Source organism: Homo sapiens, chromosome 7 (assembly GCF_000001405.40).
Source record: "Homo sapiens chromosome 7, GRCh38.p14 Primary Assembly".
In the NCBI taxonomy this organism is placed as follows: domain Eukaryota; kingdom Metazoa; phylum Chordata; class Mammalia; order Primates; family Hominidae; genus Homo; species Homo sapiens.
Window position 1 is genome coordinate 101,709,514 of NC_000007.14, and position 24,744 is coordinate 101,734,257.

General features: G+C 51.9%; 1 annotated feature.

Moving 5' to 3' along the window:
• Window positions 23,829-24,727: an enhancer, noted in NCBI's record as "H3K27ac-H3K4me1 hESC enhancer chr7:101376622-101377520 (GRCh37/hg19 assembly coordinates)". NCBI's record gives its function as "activates a minimal SCP1, AML or CMV promoter by ChIP-STARR-seq in primed H9 embryonic stem cells {active_cell/tissue: H9 hESC(primed)}" and the evidence as "EXISTENCE:reporter gene assay evidence [ECO:0000049][PMID:30033119]".

A 24,744-nucleotide genomic window follows, 5' to 3' on the forward strand; every position in this document is an offset into this window, starting at 1 on the left:
AGACCAGCCTGGCCAACATGGTGAAACCCCGTCTCTACTAAAAATACAAAAAAATAGCTGGGCGTGGTGGCAGGCGCCTGTAATCCCGGCTATTCAGGAGGCTTCAGCAGGAGAATCGTTTGAGCCCAGGAGGCCGAGGTTGCAGCGAACAGAAATCTCACACCACTGTACTCCAGCCTGGGTGACAGAGGGAGATTCCATAAAAAAAAAAAAAAAAAAAAAAAAAAAAAAAAAAAGATGGATGGGAACCAAATCTGGGGTTACTTTTTTTTAGAGACAGAGTCTTGCTCTATCACCCAGGCTGGAGTGCAGTGGTGCAATCACAGCTCCCTACAGCCTTGACCTCTCGGGCTCAAATGATGCTCCTACCTCAGCCTCCTGAGTAGCTGGGACTACAGGCATGTGCCACTGAGCTGGGCCGGGGTAACTTTGTGTCCCTTCTTGGCCATTTACCAGCTGTGAGACCTTAGGCATGTGATTGATGTAACTCCCAGCCACGTTTCCTTGTTCCTAAATTGCAATAGTGATGCTTGGTTCCCCAGGTAGCAAGATTTAATAGAGATTAAAAGAGGGGCTAGCCGGGGGTGGTGGCTCATGCTTGTAATCCCAGCACTTTGGGAGGCTGAGGTGGGTGGATCACCTGATGTCAGGAGTTTGAGGCCAGCCTGGTCAACATGGTGAAACCCCGTCTCTACTAAAAATACAAAAAATTAGCCGGGCGTGGTGGCGCACACCTGTTATCCCAGCTACTCGGGAGGCTGAGGCAGGAGAATCACTTGAACCTGGGAGGGGGAGGTTGCAATGAGCCAAGGTCGTGCCATTACACTCCAGCCTGGGCAACAAGAGAGAGACTCCATCTCAAAAAATAAAAAAATAATAAAAGAGGGGCTATACCATACTTAATAAATAATTGCATAGCTAAATAAATGGGGACAGAAGGACCGCTCTTTCATACAGTAGAATTCTGATTAATATGTGTACAAGAAAAGAAGGAAATAGGAAAGTCACCAGTAGACAACGATTGTGGCAAATGATATCACCAATGGATGCTAAAATTGATGGATGAAAGTTTAAGCAGAAACAGGATGTGCCTGGTCTCAAAGTATCACCCCAAAATAACGATTAACTAGCAAGAGAAGGGAGACAGTAACTGTACAGGGAGAAACCCCTGTAATCAGTGAGCAAGACTCATACCGCAAGATGCGCGCAGACTGCACTGAGATGGACGTGATGTTATCTTTGTGATATTCTCACCCCAAATGCATACACTCGCTCTGAGCAAGAGAATGCACTGGACAAACTCAAAATTGAGGGAAATTGGACAAAATAGCTGATTGGGGTTAGTCTTCAAAAGTGACTTCCGGCCGGCCGCGGTGGCTCACACCTGCAATCCCAGCACTTTGGGAGGCTAAGGCAGGCAGATCACCTGAAGTCAGGAGTTTGAGATCAGCCTAGCCAATATGGCAAAACCCTGTCTCTACTAAAAATACAAAAATCATCTGGGCATGGTGGCTCGCATCTGTAATCCCAGCTACTTGGGTGGCTGAGGCAGGAGAATCGCTTGAACCCAGGAGGTGGTGGTTGCAGTGAGCCGAGATGGCACCACTGCACTCCAGCCTGGATGACAGAGCAAGACTCCGTCTCAAAAAAAAAAAAAAAGTGACTTCCAGGCTGGGCACAGTGGCAGTGGCTCATGTCCATAATCCCAGCACTTTGGAAGGCTTAAACAGGAGCATTGCTTGAGCCCAGGAGTTCAACACCATCCTGGGCAACATAAGGAGACACCGTCTCTACTAAAAAATAAAAATAAAAAAATAGCCTAGCATGGTGGTACATGCCTGTGGTCCCAGCTACTCAGGAAGCTGAGGTGGGAGGATTGCTTGAGGCCAGTAAGTGGAGGCTGCAATGAGCTATTATTGTGCCACTGCACTCCAGCCTGAGCAACACCGTGAGACCCTGTCTCAAAAAAGAAAAAAAAAATGACTTCCAAAGTGTCAAGGTTATGAAAGAAGAAAGACTGAGGAGCTACCACCAACAGCAGGAGGTGAAGGAGAAATAACAATTACATGCAACGTGGGATCCTGAGAGCAGGATCCTGAGACAGAATAAAGAGAGCCATGAAAAAACCAGTGAAATTCAAATAAACACGCTTTGCAGTTTTCTTAATGGTATTGCACCCACGTTAATCTGCTTCTGATTATTGCACTGTGTTTATATAAGACATTAACTTTAGGGAAAGCTGGGTGTGACCTATACAGAAACTTTATTTGTACAACTTTTCAGTAAATCTAAAATTATTAATAATTTAAAATAAAAAAAGTTTTTTTTTTTAAAAGGACTATATCAGTTATCAGTTGTTCTTAGCCTCAGAGACACATTTGATCACCAAGAGGCCAAGAGAGTTGTGTGTCTTGCTTTTATTTATTTATTTTTTTTAGAGATAGGGTTTTGCTACGTTGCCCAGGCTGGTCTCAAACTCCTGGCCTCAAACCATCCTCCTGCCTCGGCCTCCCAAAGTGCTGGGATTATAGGTGTGAGCCACAGTGCTTGGCCCCCAAGAGAGGTTTTTAATACTGTGTCCTGGCCCCTCCTGGGATCAGTTGAACCAGTATCTTGGGAGAGGCCCAGGCATGGTTAGTTATTAAAAATCCCCAGTCGATGTTCATGGCAGCCCCTGTTGAAGGGTGGGCTATATGTAAATTACTTGGCCCAGAGTAGGCTCTTTTTTTTTTTTTTTTTTTTTTTTTTTTGAGACAGGGTCTAACCCTGTTGCCCAGGCTGGAACACAGCGGTGCAATCTCAGACTCTCTGCAGCCTCAAATTCCTGGACTCAAGCAATCCTCCCACCTCTGCCTCCCGAGTAGCTGGGACTACAGGCATGCAACGTCTCACCTGGCTAATTTTTTTTTTTTTTTTTTGTAGAGATGGAGTTTTGCCATGTTCCCCAGACTGGTCTTGAACTCTTGAGCTCAAGCGATCCACTCACCTCAGCCTCCCAAAGCTACAGGCATGTGCCACCATGGCTGGCCTGGTTCTTCAATAAATGATCATTCCCCAATATAAATGTGTGGGTTCATCACCTGACATCTTCATGCACTCACAGACTACTGAGCACCTACTACGTGCAAGGCACTGTGAGACATAGCAGGGATGCCACGGTGGGCAAGAAAGACAAGGTCCTCATATTCCAGAGCGGGGTGGGGACAAGATAAACAATAAATGCGTGAAATGAACACACATGGGACTTTACAAAAAAAAGGAGACTTTAATGGAAATAAATGGATATGATAGGGAGTAACTGGGGATGGAGGTGCAAGCTCCATTAGATGGAGTAGTTCAGGAGGACATCCTGGAGGAGGTGACATTTTAGCTGACAGTTAAATTGGAATGATGAGAAAGATGGAATCATAAGAAGAGCCAGGGAGAGACTAGATTTTCTGTGCAATGGAAAGACTCCAGTGATCATTGAAGGGATGAAGGGCAAGGCAGGGATGTTCTTTGATCTGATTTTGTTTTTGTTTTTGTTTTTGTTTTTAAGACAGAGTCTCGCTCTGTCACCCAGGCTGGAGTGTAGTGGCGTGATATCAGCTCACTGCAACCTCCACCTGCCGGGTTCAAGTGATTCTCTCACCTCTGCCTCCTGATAGGCTGAGACTACAGGTGACCGCCATCACACCCGGCTAATTTTTGTACTTTTAGTAGAGACAGGGTTTCACCATGTTGGCCAGGCTGGTCTTGAACTCCTTTCCTCAAGTAATCCACCCACCTTGGCCTCCCAAACTGCTGGATTTACAGGTGTGAGCCACCACACCCAGCCTCATATATATATATTTTTTTAATTATTATTTTTTAGAGACAGGGTCTCATGCTGTCATCCAGGCTGGAGTGCAGTGGTACAATCATAGCTCACTTTAGCCTCCAACTCCTGGGCTCAAGTGATCCCCCAACCTCGGCCTCCCAAAGTGCTGGGATTACAGGCACAAGCCACTACACCCGGCCTGATTTAGGATTTTTAAAGATTACTCTGGAAAGCAAAAAGGTTACTCTGGCTGCCAGAGGGAGGCTGATCCATGGGGGATGAGTTAGGAGGCTCTAAGATCTGTATAGGAGAGAGATGATGGTGGCCCAGACCAGAAAGGCGGTGACAGAGGAGGAGTTGAACACATTGAAACTGGCACCCCGTTGAGCTAAGGTTTGGGGTAAGCAGTGCCCTGGCCACCTAGCTCCTCAGCAGAGCAACTGCCCTTTCATTTATAATTATTATTATTATTGAGATGGAGTCTTGCTCTGTCACCCAGGCTGGAGTCCAGTGGTGCAATCTCAGCTCACTGCAACCTCCACCTCCTGGGTTCAAGCGATTCTCCTGCTAAAGCCTCCCAAGTAGCTGAGATTACAGGTGCCCACCACCACACCTGGCTAATTTTATACTTTCGGTAGAGACAGGGTTTCACCATGTTGGCCAGGCTGGTCCTGAACTCCTGGCCTCAAGTGATCTACCCACCTCTGCTTCCCACAGTGCTGGGATAACAGGCATGAGCCACTGTTCCTGGCCAGCAACTGCCCTTTCAAATCCAGCCAGTGCCTACTTGTTAACACCTATCGCATGCCAGTCCCCCAGCCCAGCATCATCATGGCCACAGGCTCCCCTCCTGCAGTCACCCATATGCCTGAACATGTCACATCCTACAGTCACCCTGTAAGCCACATGCTCCCGGAGTCCCTAATACTGATGGCAGAACTAAAGCTCAGAGAGGAGTAGACACTCAGCCAACATCACACAGCTTGTGGAACCCAGGACCGCCTGTCTCGCTGCCCCAGGCTGGTTCCCCAGTCAGGACCCACCACTTCCTCTGAGCCTGGAGGATGAGGGGAGGTGTTGGCAGAAAGCCACCCTAGTGCTCCGAGCAAACAAGAGCAGGATTGATCTCCAGAGCCAAGCTGAGCCCACGCAGCCGAAGATGGCAGCACTGTCATCTCCAGGGTGCCTGGGCCTCAGCCCAGAGACATAGTTCTACCTGCCCAGCCTGATCCCTGAATTCCTAGACATCCCAGCCCAGGAAAGCCAAGTTCCCAGGAAAGCAATTCTTACTAAGGTGTGAATGGCTGATAGCCAGTCCTTTCCTGAAAGGGAGTGACAGCATGGGGACACTGAGTTCCAGAAGCAAAAGAAAGGGGAAGGTACTAAAAATAAAATCTTTGGCCAGGTGTGGTGGCTCACGCCTGTAATCCCAGCACCTTGGGAGGCTGAGGCGGGCGGATCACTTGAGGTCAAGAGTTTGAGACCAGCCTGGCCAATATGGTGAAACCCCGTTTCTACTACAAATACAAAAATTAGCTAGGTGTGTTGGCAGGCGCCTGTAATCTCAGCTACTCAGGAGGCTGAGGTAGGAGAATCGTTTGAACCTGGGGGGCGGAGGCTGCAGTGAGCCAAGATCACGCCACTGCACTCCAGCCTAGGAGACAGAATGAGACTCCGTCTCAAAAAAAAAAAAAAAAAACTTAGCCCCTTTTCTATTTTACATCCTCTTCACAGCTGGAGCTCCTTGGGGCTCAGTTATTAGCTGCAAACTCCTCCACTTAACTCCTCAAATCAGCAACAGATGGAGGAACTCAACTTTCAGCCCAGCCCCACCTAATGCTGGAGTCCTGTCAACAGTGGACAATTGTCCCCTCCTGGCTTGAACACCTCCAATGACCAACCCTTATAATGTTCATTAAAAAACCTAGTGTTATTTAACAACATTGCTATTAGAAAGTCCCTTTGCATGTGTGAGCAACAAAGCAGTAGGTATAAAGCAAACACAGCTGGAACTATTGGTTTCCCTTTTACAGATGGGGAAACTGAGGCACCAGGAGGTGAAGGCATTGCCCGAGGTCACCCATGAAAGAATGGAGCTGGCCAGGCACAGTGGCTCATGCCTGTAATCCCAGCACTTTGGGATGCCGAGGCAGGCGGATCACAAGGTTAGGAGATCAAGACCATCCTGGCCAACATGGTGAAAATACAAAAAAAAAAAAAAAAAAAAACTAAAATACAAAAAAAATACAAAATTACTAAAAATACAAAACAAAAAATAGCTGGGTGTGGTGGTGCTTGCCTGTAATCCCAGCTACTTGGGAGGCTGAGGCACAAGAATCGCTTGAACCCAGGAGGTGGAGGTTGCAGTGGGCCGAGATTATGCCACTGCACTACAGCCTGGCGACACAGCAAGACTCCGTCTCAAAAAAAGAATGAAGCTGGGATGTAAACCAAGGCAGGGATCCTGGCTCCTGAAACCTCTCCAGTGAGTGATCTGAAGGCCCCGGACCCTGGCCTGCTGACTACATCATTAGCTACTCCCCAAGTAAAGTGTGGTCTCCCAAAGGCCACTTCCAATGCCCTGCCATGTGCCCCAGGAGGAAGCGGGGTCTTCCTGACCCAACTTTGAACATGCACTTGGAGCCGGGCGCGGTGGCTCACGCCTGTAATCCCAGCACTTTGGGAGGCCGAGGCGGGTGGATCACAAGGTCAGGAGATCGAGACCATCCTGGCTAACATGGTGAAACCCCGGCTCTACTAAAAATACAAAAAATTAGCTGGGCCTGGTGGCGGGCGCCTGTAGTCCCAGCTACTCGGGAGGCTGAGGCAGGAGAATGGCACGAACCCGGGAGGCGGAGCTTGCAGTGAGCCGAGATCGTGCCGCTTGCATTCCAGCCTGGGCGACAGAGCCAAACTCCATCTCAAAAAAAAAAAAAAACAAAAAAAAAAACGAACATGCACTTGGAGTCCCCAGTCAAGACAGCCTGGAAGAAATGAGGGCAACATGGGCGACTCAGTGGACCCCAAATGCATGCCACCATGGCTTCCCCTGATCCACACATCTTCTCTTGTCCCCTCCCTTCCACCCACTCACATGCTGGGCTTTCTCAGCATCCCTGGCAGGGACCTCTGTCTCGGATCACAAAGATGAATAAGAGAAGGAGGCTGTTGGCCTGGCACAGTGGCTCACAGCTGTAATCCCAACACTCTGGGAGGCTGAGGTGGGCAGATCACCTGAGGTCAGGGGTTCGAGACCAGCCTGGCCAACATGTGAAACCCCATCTCTACTAAAAATACAAAAATTAGCTAGGTGTGGTGGTGCACACCTGTAGTCCCAGCTACTCGGGAGCCTGAAGCAGGAGAATCTCTTGAACCCAGGAGGCATAGGCTGCGGTGAGGCAAGATCGCATGACTGCACTCCAACCTGGGCAACATAGCAAGACCTCATCTATATGTAAATAAAATATGCATAATAATAATTTTTTTTTTGAGATGGATTCTCACTCTGTTGCCCGGGCAAGAGTGTAGTGGCATGATTTTAGCTCACTGCAACCTCTGCCTCCCAGGTTCAAGTGATTCTTCTGCCTCAGCCTCCCGAGTAGCTGGGATCACAGGCATGCGCCACCATGCCTGGCTAACTTTTGTATTTTTAGTAGAGACGGGGCTTCACCATGTTGGCCAGGCTGGTCTCGAACTCCTGACCTCAGGTGATCTGCCCGCCTCAGCCTCCCAGAGTGCTGGGATTACAGGTGTGAGCCACCATGCCAGCCTAATAATAATTTTTAAAAGACAAGGCCGGCTGGGCGCAGTGGCTCATGCTTGTAATCCCAGCACTTTGGGAGGCTGAGGTGGGCAGATCACCTGAGGTCAGGAGTTTGAGACCCACCTGGCTACCATGAGGAAGCCCTGTCTCTACTAAAAATACAAAAAATTAACCGGGCGTGGTGGCACACGCCTGTAATCTCAGCTACTCAGGAGGCTGAGGCAGGAGAGTTGCTTGAATCCAGGAAGCAGAAGTTGCAGTGAGCTGAGATGGCGCCACTGCACTCCAGCCTGGGTAACAGAGCAAGACTCTGTCTCAAAAAAAAAAAAAAAAAAAAAAAAGACAAGGTCTCATCCTTTCCTGGTTGGGTCTTGAGAAATCACCTCTCTGAGCCACACAAGATTCCCTCCAAAAACAGTCCCACATCTAGAGGGCACAGAGCCGTCTCTGCCCTTGCACCCCTTCCACAGTGATTGTGGACTCTGGGATGAAGGGACAGCTGCACCCATGCCCCCTTCTGCCTGTTCTCACATCCTTCCAATCCTAGACCACCCCTCACCCTGTTCTCTTGGGAACCCCAGCTGCCCTCAGCCCCAGACCCCCCGAACCATACTCCCACTGGGACCTGGGCTGCCTTAATCCGAGCCCCCTCCCTCCCTGCAAAAGGCTGCGAACGCTTTTGAGGGCTGGAACATCTGGCTAATGGTGGGGAAAGTGCTGAGACGACAGGTTATTTCAACACTGTCATCATCTGTTGGGTATTTCAACACTCAGTGCTTGTGCAAGAGACTTAATGGGACCTGTCATAAACTCACGCTGTCTCAAAGCTCGGGCACGTCGCGGCGGGGCTGATGGGGAGTTGTCAGGGTTTAGCAATAGGCCCTGTCTTGGGGCCCGTAGCCTCCTTAAGGGTTATTTGTCTCCACTGTGGAAGGCTCAGAGAGAAATCTCAAGATGTCAGAGAAAATCCCGAGCAATTACCTCCCGGGGTAATTAGATGGTGGCACAGATAGCCTGTCTTCCTGCCTTCCCTCCTGCCCGGCAGAGGGAGGGAGAGAGGGGGACCAGCCGGTCCAGCCCCCTGCGCCAGCCCCGTGGGGGAAAGAGGCCGCAGATGACCTCATGGAAGCAACGGTGGTGAATCATGGCCCAGACCACATTCACATTTCCCCGGGGGTGGGCAAGCGTGTTGATCACCGGAGGGGCAGCTTCAACACCCAGAGAGATGGGGGGCAGGTCGGGGAGTAGGGGTGCTCCAGGATGTTTGATTCGGTTCAGCCCTGATCCAAGACTTTGTCTGAACTCAATCGCCTCTCTAAAAGGCTACACAGGGTGGAGGGCGGGGTAGCGCCTCCCGAAACCAGGAGGCGAGGTCCCCGGGAGGGAGGTCGCCGACCACACTTGTGAGGGCTGTGCAGAGTTCCCCACCACTGGCTCTCCCGGGGCAAGTAAGAGGCCCTGCCCCATGCCGGCAACACCGGAAATGAACTAAACTGGGCAGAGCAGAGACTCTAGGGCCTCAGACAGCCCCACTGCCCGGGAAGAGGGGCAATGGCTCAGCTACAGAGGCCTCTTGGTATGGGGATTCATAGGAGGGCCCTGGGGAGGCCTGAGGGATGAGTGATCAGACTCCCTCAAAGAAAACCAGAGCCCCAGCTGAGAACCAGCTCGGTGCCCATCCACCCTCCCCGTTCCACCCCAACACGCTTATCCCCAGAGTGTTCCGGAGAGGTGGTTCCAACTAGGGGTCTGGTGGGAGTTCATGAGGATGGGAGTTCATGAGGAAAGAGAGCACAGGATCCCCAGCCCTGGATGGGACAGGCGGGGAGGTGCCGGGAAGAACACCCAGGGAGAAGGAAGAACATGGAGAACGCGGAGAACGCATCGGGTACGCCAGCAGGACTGTGTGCCTGGAAACCAGAATGCAGGCCATTAAGACACGGACCGGGCAGGCCTGGGCAGGGCAGCCCACGAGTGCAGATCCCTTGGGGCACTGGGGAGCCACAGAAGGTCTTTGATCCCTGCAGTTACACATATACCAAGGGACTTTGAGCCCCTTCTCAGGATCGGTCTGGCAGCAGCTAGGGAAGAGTTCTAGGGGTGGGTAGGAGGAGGTGGGAGGTGCAAGAAGTCGGAGAATAACCTAAGTGAGGACAACCGCCAGGATGAGAAGGCGGAGGGGGCATGGGACTAAGGACGCTGGGAAGTAGACACCCCAGGACTGGGGCCCGAGCTGGGAGGAGCTGGACGAGGAGGGGCCCTTTCTCAGAACCAGTCTACAGAGGTGAGAGGGAGGACAGATGGGGAGGGGCTTGCTTGGACTTTGGGATCTTCCTAGAAATCGGCCACACAGGACCCAGATGGTCTCTGTGTCCCTCTGTCATGGGGACAACGATCCTCCGCTTCAATCGGACCCTTAGAGTCACTCAGACATTCTCCCAGGGCACACATCAACCAAGAATATGGTTTTTTGTTTTGGTTTGGTTTGGTTTTGTGGCTTGTTTGGGTTTTTTTTCCAGACAAAGTCTCACTCTGTCACCCAGGCTGGAGTGCAGTGGCAAAATCATAGCTCACTGCAGTCTCAAGCCCCTGGCCTCCAGTGATCCTCCCACCTCAGTCTCCCAAGTAGCCAGGACCACACAGGCGTGCGCCACCATAACTGGCTTTATTTATTTATTTTCAATTTTTTTTTTCTTGAGACAGAGGCTCGCTCTGTCACCCAGGCCGGAGTGCAGTGGCACAATCTTGGCTCACTGCAACCTTCACCTCCCGAGTTCAAGTGATTCTCCTGCCTTAGCCTCCCAAGTAGCTGGGATTACAGGCATGCGCCACCACACCCGGCTAATTTTTTTGTATTTTTTAGTAGAGATGGGGTTTCACCATGTTGGCCAGGCTGATCTCGAACTCCTGACCTCAGGTCAGGTGATCTACCCACCTCGGCCTTCCAAAGTGCTGGGATTACAGGCGTGAACCAACGCGCCCGGCCATTTTTTTCTTTCATTATTTGTAGAGACACTATGTTGCCCACATTGGTCTTGAACTTCTGGAATCAAGTGATTGTCCTGCCTCAGCCTCCCAAAGTGCTGGGATTACAGGTGTGAACCACCGCGCCCGGCCCAAGCCCCTGCCTTTATATGATCACATCACCACCTCCAAACAGAGGAGAAGCTGCCAGCCCTGCCATCTTCAGACAGACAAGGTTGGGGACGGAATGGTTTCCTCTGACTCGCAGCTGGGGCTCACCTGATGCTCTCTCCTGTCCTGTGTGGCAGGCACTGTGATCATCCCATTTTACAGATGAGAAGACTTGCTGCTCACAGGTGCAGAGCCCAAGGCAGCCATCCCTGTGATCTCTCTCCTGCCTGGGGCACCTCAAGTGTCAGGACCGGCCCTCCTTTACTTTCTGGGCAGGAAACCTCATTGGAGCTCCCCTGCGTGAGGTGGGAGGGATCCAGCCCCTGCCCCTCACCAACACTCCAGTGTGGCTTCCTGTCTGCCACCTGCCTCCCCTCCCATGCCAAAGACCAACGTTGCCTGGGTATAGGGGCCCATGGTGAAGCAACCATGAAATAGAAAGGGGCCCTGGGATGGGAGTCGGGAGACGGATGCTGTGGCAGCCCCAGCCCTGACCCTAACATATTCTGCCATCAGGAGGAAGTTATCTATCAATTCCAGGCTTCCAATTCCTGCCCTGCAGAAAGAGGCAGTGGCCTACAGTTTCTAGTCAAGAGATGACATTGTGGCGTGGTGGAGAAAGGCCCCCCAAGCACAGCCAGCCACCAGGTTGGGGTTTTAGTCCTGCCTCTGAAGTGGACAACCTCGCTTCCCCAGGCCTTGTCTTCTCTTTTTTTTTTTTTTTTTTTTTGAGACAATCTCGCTCTGTCACCCAGGCTGGAATGCAATGGTACAATCTCAGCTCACTGCAACCTCCGCCTCCTGAGTTCAAGTGATTCTGCTGCCTCAGCCTCCCGAGTAGCTGGGATTACAGGTGCGTGCCACCACGCCTGGCTAATTTTTGTATTTTTGGTAGAGACGGGGTTTCACCATGTTGGCCAGACTGGTCTTGAACTCCTGACCTCAGGTGATCCACCTGCCTCAGCCTCCCAAAGTGCTGGGATTACAGGCGTGAGCCACCGTGCCTGGCCTTCTCATCTTTAACTGGGGTACAATGGCATCTCTCTCAGACACAGCCCAGTGCAGGTGCCACGAGAGTGACGTATGATGTTCTCAGTGTGACAGGCAATGTCCCCATCCTGTTCTAGAACCTTCTGTGGTTCCTTGACAGACCGTCCCCAGCTGGAAGGCTGGACCACGAACTACTTGCTAAAAACAGGTCTGTGGACTGTGGGCCGAGCGCAGGGGCTCATGCCTGTGATCCCAGTGCTTTGGGGAGCAGAGGCAGAAGGACTGCTTGAGGCCAAGACCAGCCTGGGCAATTCAGTCTCTACAGAAAATTAAAAAATTAGCTGGACATGGTGGTGCATGGCTATAGTCCCAGCTACTCAGGAGGCTGAGGTGGGAGGATTGCTTGAGCCCAAGAGTTGGAGGCTGCAGTGAGCTATGATCACACTACTGCACTCCAGCCTGGGCAACATAGTGAGATCCCATCTCTACAAAAAAATAAAAATAAAATTTAAAAAACCGGTTTGTGCCAGGCACGGTGGCTCACACCTGTAATCCCAGCACTTTGGGAGGCCAAGGCAGGTGGATCACCTGAGGTCAGGAGTTCAAGAACAGCCTGGCCAGCATGGTGAAACCCCATCTCTACTGAAAATACAAAATTAGCTGGGCATGGTGGCGGGCGTCTGTAATCCCAGCTACTCGGGAGGCTGAGGCAGGAGAATTCCTTGAACCTAGCCGGTGGAGGTTGCAGTGAGCCGAAGATCACGCCACTGCACTCCAGCCTGGGCAACAGAGTGAGACTCCCTTCGTCTCAAGGAGAAAAAACAGAAATACAAATACAGAGCAAGGAGAATGCACTGGAAACCCAAGAGTGAGGAGTTTGAGGGCTGGGACAGGGGTGACAGGAAGGATGACATTCCCTCCTGCATGCCCCATGGCAGGCCACGTGCCAGGAACGAGATGCCCACAGTCCCTACTCCTACCCCCCCAGCTCTGAACCCAGGCAGGGCTGCATACAGCATGCTGAGAGGCCCCTAGCTTCTGAGAATGGGGCCCAGGAGGGCATCCAGACTGGCTCTGACCCCTCGCTCTGGAGCAGCCTCCCGGCCCGGCCTCCCACTTGGCGCGGGGCAGCCCGGATGCCGTGGGTCAGGCCAAGGGCCTCCCGCCGTGGCCTCCCCCTCGGCTGCGCTGGATGGTACCGTCTCCTCACGCATCTGCCAGTTTACATTTCCCCAACGAAAAGCAGCTTTGTTTATGGAAAGAGCTATTTTGGTTCCACGATTTCCCTCCACTCCTCCGGCTCACAGGCGGGATGGCGGCTGCTCTCTTGGGGAGCTAGGAGGAGCCGTGGAGCCATCTCCACCCTCTTGGGGAGGGGACCGCAGGGCTCTGGCAGGTGGAAGGGGACAGAGACCAGGGACACAGTGCCATCACCCCCACGAAGGCTCTGAGAAAAGGACCAATGCACAAACCATGTCCAACACCAGGTCAGGGCAACCCTGCCCAGAGGCAGGAGAATGGGGTCCCCACGAGCTGCTGACTTGGGCACGGCACACTCTGCCTGCCCCAACCATGTGCCCTGGGCTCTTGGACCATACCCTCCTCTTCCCACAGCTCTGCCTGGTAAGGAGGGTTATTATCCCCATTGCACAGATGAGCAATTGAGGGTCCTGGAGATGACGAAGCATCTGCAAAATTATAAAACTTGGGGACAAGGGGCAGAGTTCCCTTCCCGGGACCCGGGGGTCTGACCCCAGATCTCATGCTTCTTCCCCTGATGCCACCCTGTGATGGAAGTAGAGACACACGTCTCATAGAGACGGGAGCCAGTAGGAGTCCAGGGTCACTGTCATGCCTCAAAAAAGGTGTGGCAAACATTAACTCCAGTCACAGGAGGCAGCAAACCAAGTGTGAGTGGTAATAGTCCAGTTTACAGTATGGAGGCCTGCCTGGAAGGAAACTTCAGTTTCCTAGATGGGAGCCCCGATGTCCCAAGGGGCAGGAGGAAACAAGTAACAGTATCCCTCCAAAAAAAAAATCAAGAGGCCAGGCCAGGAGCCGTGGCTCATTCCTGTAATCCCAGCAGATTGGGAGGCCAAGGTGGGAGGACTGCCTGAGGCCAGGAGTGTGAGACCAGCCTGGGCAACATAGGAAGATCCCATCTCTACTAAAAATTAAAAAAAGTGAGTGCAGCATGGTGGTGGTGCACTCCTGTAGTCTCAGCTACTTGGGAGGCTGAGGTGGGAGGATCACTTAAGCCCAGTAGTTAGAGGCTGCACTGAGCTATGATCACACCACTGCACTCCAGTCCAGGAGATGGAGCAAGAAACGGTCTCAAAAAAAAAAAAAGAGAGAGAGAAAGGCTTGGCCAGGCACAGTGGTTCACGCCTGTAATCCCAGCACTTTGGGAAGCCGAGGTAGGCAAATCACAAGGTCAGGCGTTTGAGACCAGCCTGGCCAAAAAGGCAAAACCTGTCTCTACTAAAAATACAAAAATTAACTGGGTGTGGTGGCAGTTTCCTGTAATCTCAGCTACTCGGGAGGCTGAGGCAGGAGAATTGCTTGAACCTGAGAGGCGGAGTTTGCAGTAAACCGAGATCGCACCACTGTACTCCAGCCTGGGGGACAGAGCAAGACTCTGTCTTGAGGGAAAAAAAAAGAATTATATAATAGATCTACTTCCTACTCTTCCCTCCAGATGAAGAGCTCCTGGCTGGGGGTCAGACATATTCCTTTTGCCTCCCTGAACACCTCCAAATGCCCCTCCTCTGTCTGGGGAATTCCCCACCTTGTGAATTACATCCACCTTTTCAGACTCTCTTGCAGCTAAGGTTTAATCATGTGACCTGGGCTCCACCAATCCATGCACCCATCAGACTCAGAATGAGAAGCAATGACCCAGGAAGTAGAGGCCATGTGGAATCCATTCTGGCTAGCAAAGGGTCAGCTCCCACATCCAGTTTCTGAAGGCAGCACCATGACCCACGTCAGAGCCCAGTGGAAGGCCAGCCTGGCATGTGGTGGGATTTGGGGCCTCGCTTCTGATTGTACAGCCTCAGAGCCTGGGACTCTGGCTTTCGGGGAGATACTGAGTTACATAGGAGCTTTGAATAAATTCCTTATCTGCCTAACCCAGCCAGAGTGGGTTTCTGTGTCTGGAATTACAGACCCTGATGTGCTCACCTCAGGACAATGAAAATGCTCTGGGAAGCCCTGGCTCAACCCAGCTGACAAGAGTCAGAGGCATTTGTGCATGAGCAAGAGGCCTGCCCTGCCTCCTCCAAGACGGCCCTGTGATGGGCCACACGCTGGGGATGGAAGGGAATGGAGGCCCACCAGGCCAGATCCTCCCTGGCCTGTGAGATGCCCCAACACCAAACCCAGCCCAGGACAGAGGTCTGGGCAAGAGTGGCTTTCAGGGCCCAATGGTCCTGCACATCCAGGTGGCTCCGAGGAGGGGACTCCAGAGCTGTGCCCCACAGGAGGATCACTTGAGCTCAGGACTTTGAGACCAGCCTGGGCAACATAGTCAGACCCCATCTCTACAAAATATAAATAAAAATAGCCAGACATGGTGGTCCCAGCTACTTGGGAGGCTGAGGCAGGAGGGTCATTTGAGCCCAGGAGGTTGAGGCTGCAGTGAGCCATGGTTGTGCCACTGCACTCCAGCCTGGACAATAAAGTGAGACCCTGTCCCCCACCAAAAAAAAAAAGACTTGACATCTCATCTTCTCTTTCAGGAAGCTTCTAGCCCTACGCTTTCTGAGTCAGTTGCCTCCCAGGAACATCCAGAGGCACTGGGGCCCCATCAGCCAACACACGTCCACACTAGATTGAAACTGTCCATTTCAGGTCGTGTCCGTCCATCTCCCTATTGAATGGCAGCTCCCAGAGAGCAAGGGTCATATCCGGACCACTCTGAACGCCCAGTGCCAAGCACAGTCATGACGCGGTAGATGCTCAGTGTGTTTGCTGAGTGACTACATGAGTGACAGAATGGATGTGCTCCCTTGTGGGAGAAGCCTGAGGTCTTGGCATGGTGAGAGCCAGGAAGGAGAAGAGCAGTTGCAGAGTGGCCCCGTGGCTTGGTGGGCAGCACACACTCCTACCTGAAGCCCCCAGGCCATTGATCACCTATGCAAAAGGCATGAGAAGGGCTGGCCAATGCCTGCTGCTCCCGCCACTGTGGGTTTATTCATGAGCCCCGCGGAAAAGTATTTCCCAGGAATCTGGAGCTGCGGACTTGCTTTAACGCTCCACTTATCCCACTATTGATGTGGATTTTTAGACGCAAGTTCTCGCTCTGTCGCCCAGGCTGGAGGGCAGTGTTACTATCATAGCTCACTGCAGCCTCAGCCTCCCTAGGCTCAGGTGATCCTCCTACCTCAGCCTTCCGAGTAGCTGGGACTACAGGTGTGCGCCACCACGCCCGGCTAATTTTTATATTTTTTGTAGAGGTAGAGTATTGCCTTGTTAGCCAGGCTGGTCTCAAACTCCTGGGTTCAAGCAATCCACCCACCTCAGCCTCCCAAAGTGCTGGGATTGCAGGCATAAGCCACCGCGCCTGGCTCCCAACCACTAATGGTCTGTATCTAGGAGACTTGCACCTCTCCATTTATTTGCCAGGGACACCTGTCCAGCACACGTCAAGGAATGAGGCAGTGATTGAGCGGCTTTGGAGTCTCTCTTCTTTCCCTAACATGGGCAGGCAGAAGGAAGTTCCCAAGGGGCCCCTCCGAGGGAATCTGGCAGCTCCAACCCACCAGCTTGGCTGCCATCGTCAGCAGAAGAGGACAATCGCATAGGGTCTCTGCTCCTCCAGGCCACAGCTGCCCAAGACTCGCACCTGGTCCTGCAAGCTGGCATCAGTGGGGTTATCCTGGCCCTACAGGGCTGGCCCAGAATGACTCATAGCCCACACCAAACCGTGGATGGTGGAAGACTCTGGACTCCCTTCCCAAGATGTCTGTGACATCTTGTTGTGGACACAGCGTTAGTCATATGTCACAATTGCCCGGGACCCAGAGCCCAGCTTCCACTGAATTTCAGTTCAGGGACAGCCTCAGCTTCTTGCATGAGATGCCTTCAGCCTCCAGCACAGCCACCAGATGTCAAAATCCTTTACCTTAGTTTCCATGCCCAAAACCACTCACGACAGGCATCTGTGTGGGTAGGTTTACTGTCGCTTGGAGAGGCACAGGGATTTGCTTTGCAATTATCAGGACCTATTAAAATCCTTCTCCCTGGCCGGGTGCAATGGCTCACGCCTGTAATCCCAGCACTTTGGGAGGCCGAGGCAGACGGATCACGAGGTCAGGAGATCGAGACCATCCTGGCTAACACGGTGAAATCCCATCTCTACTAAAAATACAAAAACAATTAGCCAGGCGTGGTGGCGAGCGCCTGTAGTCCCAGCTGCTCGGGAGGCTGAGGCAGGAGAATGGCGTGAACCCGGGAGGCGGAGCTTGCAGTGAGCCGAGATTGCGCCACTGCACTCCAGCCTGGGCGACAGAGCGAGACTCTGCCTCAAAAAAAAAAAAAAAAATCCTTCTCCCTAGATGTTTCTGTGTCATCTCTGCTCTGGCCTCCGCCTTCTCCTTCCTCCTCCCGCCCCTGAAATCCTGCCTACCATCCAAGCAGAACAGTCCAGCCCCCATGGTCCTGTCTTCAATCCCAAAGCATCTGATCCATTTTCCTAAACAAGGAGGATTTGCGTCTAAGCAGAATTTGGTACTGGTTCTTAAAATAATGGATTTTTTTTTAATCCCATGACACTGGGATCAGAGTCATCTTCTCAGCACAGTTCCTGGCACTTCTTATGTTGCAAGGACCTGAACTGAATGGACAGAGACCCAGACCTCAGAGAGTCCAGGAGAAGTGAGCCCTACGTGGACCAGAGCAGAGCCGGTGGGGTGATAACAGGATGAGAGAAGGCAAACCAGCCCTGGCAGGGACTAATGAGGGCAGTAGCCTCTCCTTGGAGGAGCCAGAGAAAGCTTTGCCAGAGAGGTCACAGGAAAGCCAGTCTTGGAGGGGTTTCATGAGCAGAAAAGGCAGCTGGGACGGTCAGCCAGCAATACCTCTCCAAGATGTAGCACTCACACTGCACCGTAATCATTGGGTTCAGACCAGGCATGGTGGCTTACGCCTGTAATTCCAGCACTTTGGGAGACTAGGGCAGGAGGATCACTTGAGACCAGGAGTTTGAGACCAGCCTGGGCAGCATAGCAAGATCCCACCTCTAAAAAAAAAAAAAAATTAGCCAGCCATGGTGGCACGAGCGAGTGGTCCCAGCTACTCGGGAGGCTGAGGTGGGAGGATTGCTTGAGACCAGGAGTTAGAGGCTGCAGTGAGCTATGATTGCACCACTGCACTCCAGCCTGGGTGACACAATGAGGCCCTGTCTCTAAAAAATAAAAATTAAATTAAATTAAAAAAAATAATCCGGTTTAGTGTCTGCCTCCTCCATCAGACTGGAAACTCATGGAAGGTGAATGACAGGGGCTGAGGTGCAAGTTCAATCAGCCTCTGGCCCTGGGAGGAGGAAAGGGAAAAAGCAAGTTAGGGGATGGGACTGTAGTCGCAGCTCAGAGGCCCTGGGTGCCTCTGACACTGAGGCAGAAACAAGGGGGAGCATTAGCTGGATTTCTATCCTACACGTGTCAGCGGACGTGATGGTTTCAAACTGAAAGTGAGCAATTTGTGGGTCCTTGGGCCACACCTATGAAAGGCTTTTTTATTTTTTATTTTTTGAGACAGGGTCTGGCCAGCTATTTTGTTGTTGTTGTTGTGGAGATGGGGTTTCACTATGTTGCCCAGGCTGGTCTCGAACTCCTGGCTTCAAACGATCCTTCTGCCTCTGCCTCCCAAAGCACTGGGATTCGAAAGGCCTTTTATGTGAAACACTTGTGACCCACCAAAAATCCCATTGTAAGTCCTGTCGCTCTGACAAGCATCATAATCGCGCATCTGTCCAGAATTCTGCATTTAGGAGGAGGCTTTAAAGCCCACGTGCTCAGAGCTACGGTGTAGACCCTATACTCCACCATCCTGCCACAGGATTCAGGGAGCAGCTGGAGGTAAGATAATTGTAGGCTCCAGGCTCTGCACCCTGGGTGGGATTAGCATTAGTCAGTAGGTTTCTCTGTTCCCTCAATCTCCCCGCTCCCGGGACTTGCAAAGCAGTGAGAGTGGGCAACATGCCGTGTAACACAGTTAATTACACGTTGATTGCATTGTGCTGTAATTACTGTTCAGGCGTGTGGGGCTCCTCACCTGCACTGGATCCTGGAACTCAGAGAAAGAAGCTTCTGTCTCCTGTAATCCCAGCACTTTGGGAGGCTGAGGTGGGCAGATCGCTTGAGGTCAGGAGTTCAAGACAAGCCTGGGCAACATAGCGAAACCCTATCTCTACTAAAAATACAAAAATTAGCCGGGCGTGATGGCAGGTGCCTGTAATCCCAGCTACTCGGGAGGCTGAGGCAGGAGAATCGCTTGAACTCGGGAGGAGGAGGTTGCAGTGAGCCGAGATGCCACCAGTGCACTCCAGCCTGGGTGACAGAGCGAGACCCTGTCTCAAAAAAAAAATTAAAAAAAAAATTAAAATTATAATAAAAATAAAATTGATTGTAGAAATTGCACTAATGGATACATTAGAAGCCATTGAATTGTATATTTTTAATGGATGAATTGCATGGTATGTGAATTATATCTCAATAAAGCTATTACTTAAACAGGAGAAAACAAAAAACCCCAGCGACAATCTTCCTCAAGCTCCTTGGCAATAGGAGGCCTTGCCGTCCCCACCCAGCCTGCCTGAGTTCCTGCTTACAGTTGCTTCTTTTTTTTTTTTCCTTTGACACGGGGTCTCCCTCTGTCACCCAGGCTGGAGTGCAGTGGCGCAATCTCATCTCACTGCAATCTCCACCTCCCGGGTTCAAGTGATTCTCCTGCCTCAGCTTCCTGAGTAGTTGGGATTACAGGCACCTGCCATCATGCCCGGCTAATTTTTGTATTTTTATAGAGATGGGGTTTTACCATGTTGGTCATGCTGGTCTTCAACTCCTGACCTCAAGTGATCTGCCTGCCTTGGCCTCCCAAAGTGCTGGGATTACAGACGTTAGCCACTGCTCTCAGCTGCTTCTTAAATGCGGCTGGGGCCAAGCAGAAAAATGGCCCTCTCTCATGCTAGGCAAACGCAGAGCCCACTGGACAGAGTTCCCTGAGATCGAGGCAGGGATGACGCATGGCTGCCTTGTGACCAGCTATCTCTCCGCTCTCTGGTGAACTATCCCAAGCCAGACCGTGGTTTTGTAATTTGAAGTCCAAGGCCGTGAATCAACATAATCTACTTATCAAGACCAAAGGCTGCGGTCGCCGTGCATGTAGAAGGAATAGCTCACAGTGCGTGGCGCCTTCATGCCGGAGGGCTGGGCCACACCCTGGTGCACACTGGGGGTGGTGCCCAAGGATCCTGCTGGACTAACCAAACACAGCCCTGGGCCACACCTTCCCACAGGCCTCTCAGCCCTCTCAGCTCTTCCACTTGGAGCCTGAGAGTCTGACACCCCCCACCTCACCCCCAGTCAGCTCTGTGACTCCCAGTGCTCTGGCTTTGGGATTTGTTTTGTTTATTTTAGAGACAGCGTCTCTCTCACTGTGTTACCCAGGCTGGGGTGCAGTGGCGCCATCATGGCTCAATGCAGCTTTCAACTCCTGGCTCAAGTGATCCTCCCACCTCAGCCTCCAGGGTACCTGGGATGACAGGCATGTGCCACCATGCCCAGCTAATGTTTTAAATGTTTTGTAAATGTAGGGGGTCTATGTTGTCCAGGCTGGTCTCGAACTCCTGGCCTCCAGCGATTCTCCCACCTTGGCCTCCCAAAGCCTTGGGATTATAGGTGTGAGCCGCCGCACCCAGCCTGGCTTTGGCCTCGGCATTTACGTTATGTTGTAAAACACAAAACTTCAATCAGGGCCAAGTCTTTCAGCTTAAAACCCTTCAGTGCCTTCTGGGGATAAATACTGAGCTCTTGGGCCCAACTTGGTTTGACCCCTGGGAGTCCTACCCCTACTGGGAGCCCCCACAGCTCATCCTCCCCATGGCCCCTTCACTCCAGATACATGGGTCTTATTTTAGCTCTTTGGTTTTTTGTTTGTTTGAGATGGAGTCTTGCTCTGTTGCCCAGGCTGGAGTGCCGTGGTGTGATCTCAGCTCACTGCAACCTCCGCCTCCCGGGTTCAAGTGATTCTCCTGCCTCAGCCTCCTGAGTAGCTAGGATTACAGGTGCACGCCACCATGCCCGGCTAATTTTTGTATTTTTAGTAGAGACGGAGTTTCACCACATTGGCCAGGCTGGTCTCAAACTCCTGACCTCGTGATCCACCCGCCTTGGCCTCTCAAAGTGCTGGGATTACAGGCATGAGCCACCATGCCTGGCCTATTTTAGCTCTTTATAGTCCTCCTGTCCCCTCTTACCTGTGAGCCTCTGGGTAACGTCTTCAGCCTGTTATCTTTGCATCCAGCTAATTAGGTCACTTATTCCTACAGAAACCCATCTTTCAAGGAATGGCCATCCCTGCCAAGGCCACTGAGCCCTGTTGACCCTGGACTCTCTCCTGTCTCTTCCCTGGTGCTGGCCAGTGTGTCCACGTTGCTGTGATTGCTGAATTAATGTCTGTCCCTCCCTCCAGGCCGTGCATGATGACACCCCCTGTAGCTGCCATGGAGCCCAGCACCCAGTGGATATGCAAAAAGCCCACGTAGGCCGGGCATGATGGCTCACGCCTATAATCCCAGCACTTTGGGAGGCTGAGATGATCACTTGAGGCCAGGAGTTTGATACCAGCCTGGGCAACATAGTGAGACTCCATCTCTACAAAAAATTTAAAAATTAGCCACTCATGCTGGCGTGCACCTGTCATCCTAGCTACTTGGGAGACTGAGGCAGGAGGATCACCTGAGCCCAGGAGTTCCAGGCTGCAGTGAGCTATGACTGCACCACTGCACTCCAGGCTGGCCAACAGAGTGAGACCCTGTCTCTGAAAGAAAAGAAAGAAAAGAGGGAAAGAAAGAGAGACAGAGAGAGAAAGAGAGAAAGGAAGGAAGGAAGGAAGGGAGGGAGGGAGGGAGGGAGGGAGGGAAAAGAAAAGAGTGGAAAATTCAAGGTTGGTGTAAGCTGAATGAAAAAGCATTGTCCTGGAGTTGCACTTAAGCCCATTCCTGTTTTCAGCTTCTCGAACTCTCCCATTTTTCCCAAGCATAAATTGATCCCAGTCCTCCTCTACCTATAACCCACCAAGAGCTTCCCATTGTGATTATAATAAAACCTAAGCTCCTTACCATCACTCACAGGCGACATCACCTACAGGTCCTACAGGGACATGGTCCCTGCCTCCTCTTACATCACAGTGGGAAACTCTTAGAGGGTTCTAGGGGGAGAGGCGTCTTCCCTCCTGGATTGACATTTCAGCCACTTTGTGCCCCGACCCTCTCCAAGTTCATTTCCGTCTCCCTCTCTGCAGGGCCAGGTGATTCAGAAACTGATCGCATGCCAGAGAACCAACGACCCACTGCCCTTCAGCCTCTTCACAGGGGCATTTGCAAGAGAAGGAGTTTTTCTTTTCACCAGCGTCATTCGGAATTGCCAGGACAAGGTGATAATAAAAAGCAGACGGCTTTGAGTAATTTTATTATTGTTATTAAATTGGCTACAGACAAGGCATTCCCTCATTACCTGCACCTGGGAGGGACCACTTGCACCACTGCCAGCCCCAGCTCCAAAGGAAGACGTCCACCATCCGTCCCTCCACTGGGCAGGTATAGGAACAGAGGATGTGACCTCATGGCCACCCCATAGGGTCACCTGATACAGAATGAGGCAGGCACCAGCATGGATTTTATGTCACCCCACCAGGGTGATGAGGGGGGCAGCAGGCCCTCAGTCATGTGGTCACAGGGCAGGATTTCAAGGAGTATCCACATGACAGGTTTTTGATTTGGGCCTTGGAAAGAAGTAAGGTATCCATGGCCAGGTGTGGTGGCTCACACTTGTAATCCCAGCACTTTTGGGAGGCCGAGGTGGGCAGATCACCTGAGGTCAGGAGTTCGAAACCAGCCTGGCCAACATGGTGAATCCCCGTCTCTACTAAAAATGCAAAAATTAGCCCGGCATGCTGGTGGTTGCCTGTAATCCCAGCTACTCAGGAGGCTGAGGCAGGAGAATCGCTTGAACCCGGGAGGCGGAGGTTGCAGTAAGCCGAGATCGCATCACTGCACTCCAGCTTGGGTGACAGAGTGAGACTCTGTCCCAAAATAAATAAACAAGCAAACAAACAAATAAATAAAAGAAGTAAGACACCCACCACACACCCTTCTGTCAGCTTCCTCTGTGACTAGTGTGGATGTTCTCAAAGGCAGCAGAACTCTAGGACCATTCCTTTATTTTTTTCTTTGGAGAGGATCTTACTCTGTTCCCCAAGCTGGACTGCAGTGGCGCAATCCTAGCTCATCGCAGCCTCCAATTCCTGGGTTCAAGCGATCCTCCTGTCTCAACCTCCTAAGTAGCTGAGACTACAGGTGCATGCCACCATGCCTGGCTAATGTTTAAATCTTTCTGTAGAGATGGGGTGGGTAGTCTCGCTATGTTGCCCAGGCTGGTCTTGAACTCTTGGCCTCAAGCCATCCTCCCACCTAGGCCTTCTAAAGTACTAGTATTACAGGCCTGAGCCACAGCTTTTGGCCTAGGACCCTTCCTTAGAGTCCCTGCTGTGAAGCTGGGCTGGGCTGCTGAGGGGCCATGGCAGATGCTGATTACAGGGAACAAGAGCAAAATAGGAAGAGCCTCTGAGCATCCTTCCCTGGCTGTTCCCTATGCTTGTCCTTCTCCTTGCCCCAAACCTACACCTATTCCCCACTCTCTCAAGGAGGTCCAGTTCTGTGCATTTTATTTTTTTTAAGAGGTAAACTGGAGCAGGCTGGGCGCAGTGGCTCACGCCTGTAATCCCAGCACTTTTGGAGGCTGAGGTGGGCAGATCACTTGAGGCCAGGAGTTCGAGACCAGCCTGGCCAATGTGGTGAAACCCCATTTCTACTAAAAATACAAAAATTAGCTGGGCATGGTGGTACACGCCTGTAATTCCAGCTATTCAGGAGGCTGAGACAGGAGAATCGCCTGAACCCAGAAGGTAGAGGTTGCAGTGAGCCAAGATCGTGCCACTGCACTCCAGCCTGGGCAACAGAGCAAGACTCATCTTTAAAAAAAAAAAAAAAAAAAAAAGATGTGAACTGGAGCAAAGTTACAGCCAATGGGTGCTGGTCACATGCCAGCAGGGGTTTTTTCATTTTGCCTCTCTGGGAACCCTCATATTCCCTGTACCCCTGCCCCCTAACAACAGAGTGAGCTCCATGACAGCAGGAAGAAGAGACAGGACTGGGGAATGGATCAAACAGGGTCCTGCTGAATAACTAGCCAGGCAGTGGAAATGCTTCTGAACAGTAAAATTTCAACAGAAACACCAGAGAAAGGAGATGCCGGCCAAGTGGGCAGAGAAAGCTTGGCCCGGAACACAGCTTCCCGTTCCAGCTTCCGCAGGGGGATTAAAGACAGATTCGGCCGCTCACATCCAGCCCTTGTGAGGGGCCCGCCGCTGCCCCAGGCATTAACACACACCTCCTGATTCATTTTGTCCTGACCACAGCCCTTCGGCATGCCCATTTTACCGGTGGTGGCACTGAGTCTCTGAGAAACGTAATGATTGCATAGGGAAGCCAGGCTCTCTGCCGGCCGGGCCGGCGCAGGGCTGTTTTCAAGGGAAACTGAAACCTGAAACCTGACCTCCCTGCCCTGGCTCTCAGCACAGCCTCCTGCCACCCTCCCACTATCCCCACCCTCACCCCCCGCCCCCCGCCACTCCCATCCCCCTTCTCACCCATCTGCCTGCAGGCTGGTGGCTGGCCACTACTGGAAGACTTCCAGGCGCTCTCCCCTCTCCAGTCCCTGAAACATTTTGGAAGAAGGGAGAGGCCGGGAACTTTGGGTCCAACATGAAGGACATT